The 4,112-nt window shown below is 42.9% G+C and overlaps 1 annotated feature.

Annotated features, from left to right (window-relative positions):
- Positions 768-1,967: an enhancer, noted in NCBI's record as "CDK7 strongly-dependent group 2 enhancer chr11:114757957-114759156 (GRCh37/hg19 assembly coordinates)". NCBI's record gives its function as "activates an origin of replication core promoter dependent on BRD2, BRD4, P300/CBP, MED14 and CDK7 cofactors, with strong dependence on CDK7, by STARR-seq in HCT116 cells {active_cell/tissue: HCT116}" and the evidence as "EXISTENCE:reporter gene assay evidence [ECO:0000049][PMID:35650434]".

The raw sequence follows: 4,112 nt of genomic DNA, 5'->3' as shown, positions 1-4,112 counted from the left end.
CTTCTCTTTTCAAGCAGATGCCCCTGAGGACAAAGGCTATGTCATTTTCATTTTTACACCCCACCCTCACTGAGTGTTTAATAGTGGCGCTTGTCAAAAAGCACTCACCTTCGTCAATGACTTGTATAAACAATTGAACAAATGAACCAGGCTAGACTAGGTTCTCCTCTCCATGTTGCGGGACCACAGTCTTACCACCTGTCCCCGGGAGGTGGTTCGCTGAGCTCTCTTCTCGGTGTGTCTAGTTTTTACTCATCCTGAGTGCTTGGCTCAAGTCCTCCTGGCCCCCTCCCTCCTCTGAACTCTATTCTTATTTCTTTAGCCACTCAGTGGTATCAGTTTGGTTGTGTCCTCCTCTTGGGTGACACTGTAAGCCCAAAGGCAAGCATTGGTTCTCATATTTTACACACGGCGTGCCTTGTACAAAATTATTTGAAAGCCAGCTGATTTTAGCATAGCCTGGAAAGAGATGTCTATACCCAAGGACCTGTGCTCATTTTGATTTGCATGCAACATGAGGGCAGGGACTATATTCCATACTTCTTTTATATGTCTCCCATCCTAATCCGCTGCTTCGTTCAATTCTGAAGGGACAACAATAACCACTATTTATAAGGCTTACACTGGGTCAGGCACTATGTTGGGCACTTATATTATCTCATCTCATCTTTACAATAAATTTAAGACATATAGGTCCTATTATTCCCATTTTACAGATGAAAAAATGTAGCTCTTAACTTCTTTAACTTTACTTCCTTGCTCAGTAATGTGTCCTAGAACCTCAGAAGAATTCTTGCCATTGACTGAATGTTTGTGATCCCCCAATATCTACAGACTGAAATCTGATATATATATATAGTGATGATATTAGGAGGTAGGACTTTGGGCAGTGATTAGGTCATGAAAGTGGAGTTCTCGTGAATGGAATTAGTGCCCTTATAAGAAGAGACACCAGAGAGCTTCCTCTCTCTCTGCTCTCTGCCGTGTGAAGACACAGCAGGAAGGCAGCTACCCTCAAACCAGGAAGAAAGCTCTCACCAGATAGAATCTGCTGGAGCTTTGATCTTGTGCTTCCCAGCCTTCGGAACTATGATAAAAAAAAAAGTGTTTGTTGTTTAAGCCCCTTAGTCAATGGTCTTTGATATAGCAGTACTCCAAACTAAGACAAACCTTAAAGGCCATTTAGAATACTTACGTGTTTAGTGGAGGCATCTCTGACTCAGAAAGGTTTGGGATTGTCCATGGTCACTCAGCTAATCTGTGCAGCCAATCCTCAAAGCCAAACTCTTTCTTCCTGTCACCCCACCCTGAAGGGGCAGGTCATTTGACAGGGCAGTTCATCCTGCTAAAGGAATGAACGAACCCAGTTGGAGCCAGGGACTGATGCTGGACCCCACAGGGATGGGTCAGGGCTGCAAGGCCAACCCCTGCCTCAGGGCCATGAGCAGTTGAGTCAGGCCCTGGTCAGGATTGCTGTGCCCTCTGGACTCCCTGGGAAGGGGTCTCCTTTCTAACCTTTATGATGCCTTTATCAGCTCAATGCAGCAAGTACCTATAGACCCCCTGCTCTGGGGTAAAAAAAAACCCTTGCTAAAAAACAGAGACCCTGATTCCAGGCTCATCTTAGTGACCAGCCATTTATGAGTTCTCACGCGTAAGTTCCTGACCTGTCCCATGACAGCGTTCTTCCTGTGGGGCCAGGTACTCTAAGTAGAGGGCCATGTGCCTTCCTGACTCCACTGCCCCCAGCTCATATGGATGGCAGGCTACTGCCACTGCCAAGGCCACTCTGAGGGCCCCTCCCCTAAAACTCCAGCACACACTGCTCTCCCTTCTCTTCTTTGTGTCTTTTCAGGACCCACAGTCCAGGTATTTGAAAAAGTGGCAGACACTCCTGATGCATTCTTACTCCTGAGGCAACATATGCTTACCCAAACCTCCAGCCTGTGGGAGACAGTGGGCCTCTTTCTTCCATCAGTGTGGGAATGTTGCTAGACTCAAACTTTGTTTTCAGTGGCACCCGACAAACAACTTTCTTGATTCTCTCTGCCACCCCACCCACACGTCCCAGCATGTCTCATTGTTTTTACTGGCACAGATGTAATCGGGCCTGAAGTTCACTGAATCAGAAATCAAAAGACAAAAGAGAAGACAATGACAGATTGCACTCTGCAGAGGAAATGAGCTCTCTGGCCAAGTTGCCGCCTTGCTCTTCCCTAATGCACCCATCTGAGGTCACCCAGCCAGTCCTGGTCTCTGCACTCTTAAGGTGCTCTCAGAGCCAAAGAGTGGCCTTCCCTCTGGAGGAGGTGTCAGGTTTGTCTCCTGTGTTTGTGTGGTATGTGGGGGATGAGCAGGTGGGTGTAAGAATATGTGGGTTGTATGTGTAGGTGGACATTGGGGGATCTGTATAATTGAGCTCATATGAATAATATGTGTATAGGTGAAGAAATGTGTATATGCATGAATGGAGGTTAGTTGTGTGTGTGTTTATTGGGGGGTGTAGAAAAATTGCAGGCATTTGAATATGTGCATGCAGAATGTACCTTGAGTGTTACATGAGTGCTTGAGTGCATTTGAATGATTTGATGTATGCATGGGCATGTTTGAAGAATTTTGCTATGTATGTGCATGGGGTGTTGGTGCATGTGTTTTAGCGAGTAGGGATTATATGTGAGCGGTGTGTGTATGGATGAGAATGTAATAACTACAGTATTAATTTTGTTTATAAGTTTGGGGTTATATGAGTTTGAAGGTGTCTATGAATTGTGAGTTTGTGAATATGTTTTTATAGTGCAGCAATGTGTGTTATATGTCAAGGGTATACACGGAAGACTTGTGTGTAAAGATGGACAGAGGCCAGGCACAGTGACTTATGACTGTAATCCCAATGCTGGAAGGCCGAGGTGGGAGGATCACTTGAGCCTAGGAGTTCGAGACCAGCCTAGGCAACATAGGGAGACCGGTCTTTACAAAAAATAAAAAATACAAAAGAAATTATCCAAGCATGGTAGCGTACGCCTGTAGTCCTAGCTACTCAGGAGGCTGAGTGGGGAGTATTGCTTGAGCACAGGACTTTGAGATGGCAATGAGCTGTGATCGCATCACTGCACTCCACCTTTGGGCAAACAGACTAAGGCCCTGTCTCTAAAAAGAAAAAAAAAAAAAAAAAAAAAAAGGACAGATTTAAGTGTTGTGGTGATGAGCATGAGTGAAAGTGTTAGCGGAGCATATGTTCATAAATAGGGGTTCAGGGACATTGGTGAATATGAGGGTGACTGGATGTATATGTAGAAAATAACCTGAGGGTCTGATATGTATATAAGTATGAAGGCACATGCAGTGGCGTGCTGGAGCTGGCTTTTCCTGGCCCGTGAGAGCTGTTTGTTAAATTTAGGGGTTTTGTAAACTGGTGATTAAACTCAGCCATTATTAAAAATTAAATTGTATATACTTACAACTAAATAAATTAATAAAAATAAAGGTTATAAATAATTAAAATTCACCCCTTCCTTTTACATTTTACTCTTATCCATGTCTTGAGGTTTTTTTTTTACATCAGTTGTGTCTCTATGGTGGAAATACTATGCAATGATGTGTTACTGCTCATCTCTTCCCAACTGTATGTTCAGTGACATTGTGTTAATAATTTGAAATTGGCCATTGTAGGAGTATTTATGTTATGGAAGTTAGCAAACTCTACAAATCAGGGTCTTTTATTTCTGGAGAGCTGGTTGCTAAACACTTACCAGCACACAGGTGTATATGAGCGTTTTGTGTGTGTATATTAGTGAGTATGTTGGTTGGGTATTTTTGAGGTGGGATTTAGAAAGTTGTGTGTGAATTGTTGGTGAATAAGTGTTTATAAACAGAATGAATGAATGTGTATATAATCTGTAAGTACATATGCTAGGTAAGTCAGGGTAATTGTTAACCTAAAATCCGTGGATCTTTAAGGTGTCAGGGGATGAAATTCAGAGAGTCCATGAACTTGAACGAGGAAAAAAAATTCCATCTTTATTTTCACTAACTTCTAACTAAAATGTGACATTTTTGCCAATATGAATGTAGCTAACAATACATAGTAGTATTAACAGTGTTTACGTTTTTAT

The sequence above is a fragment of the Homo sapiens genome, chromosome 11 (assembly GCF_000001405.40).
Source record: "Homo sapiens chromosome 11, GRCh38.p14 Primary Assembly".
NCBI lineage: Eukaryota > Metazoa > Chordata > Mammalia > Primates > Hominidae > Homo > Homo sapiens.
The sequence above is the reverse complement of the archived record's forward strand: the minus strand, read 5'-3'. Positions and strand labels throughout refer to the sequence as shown.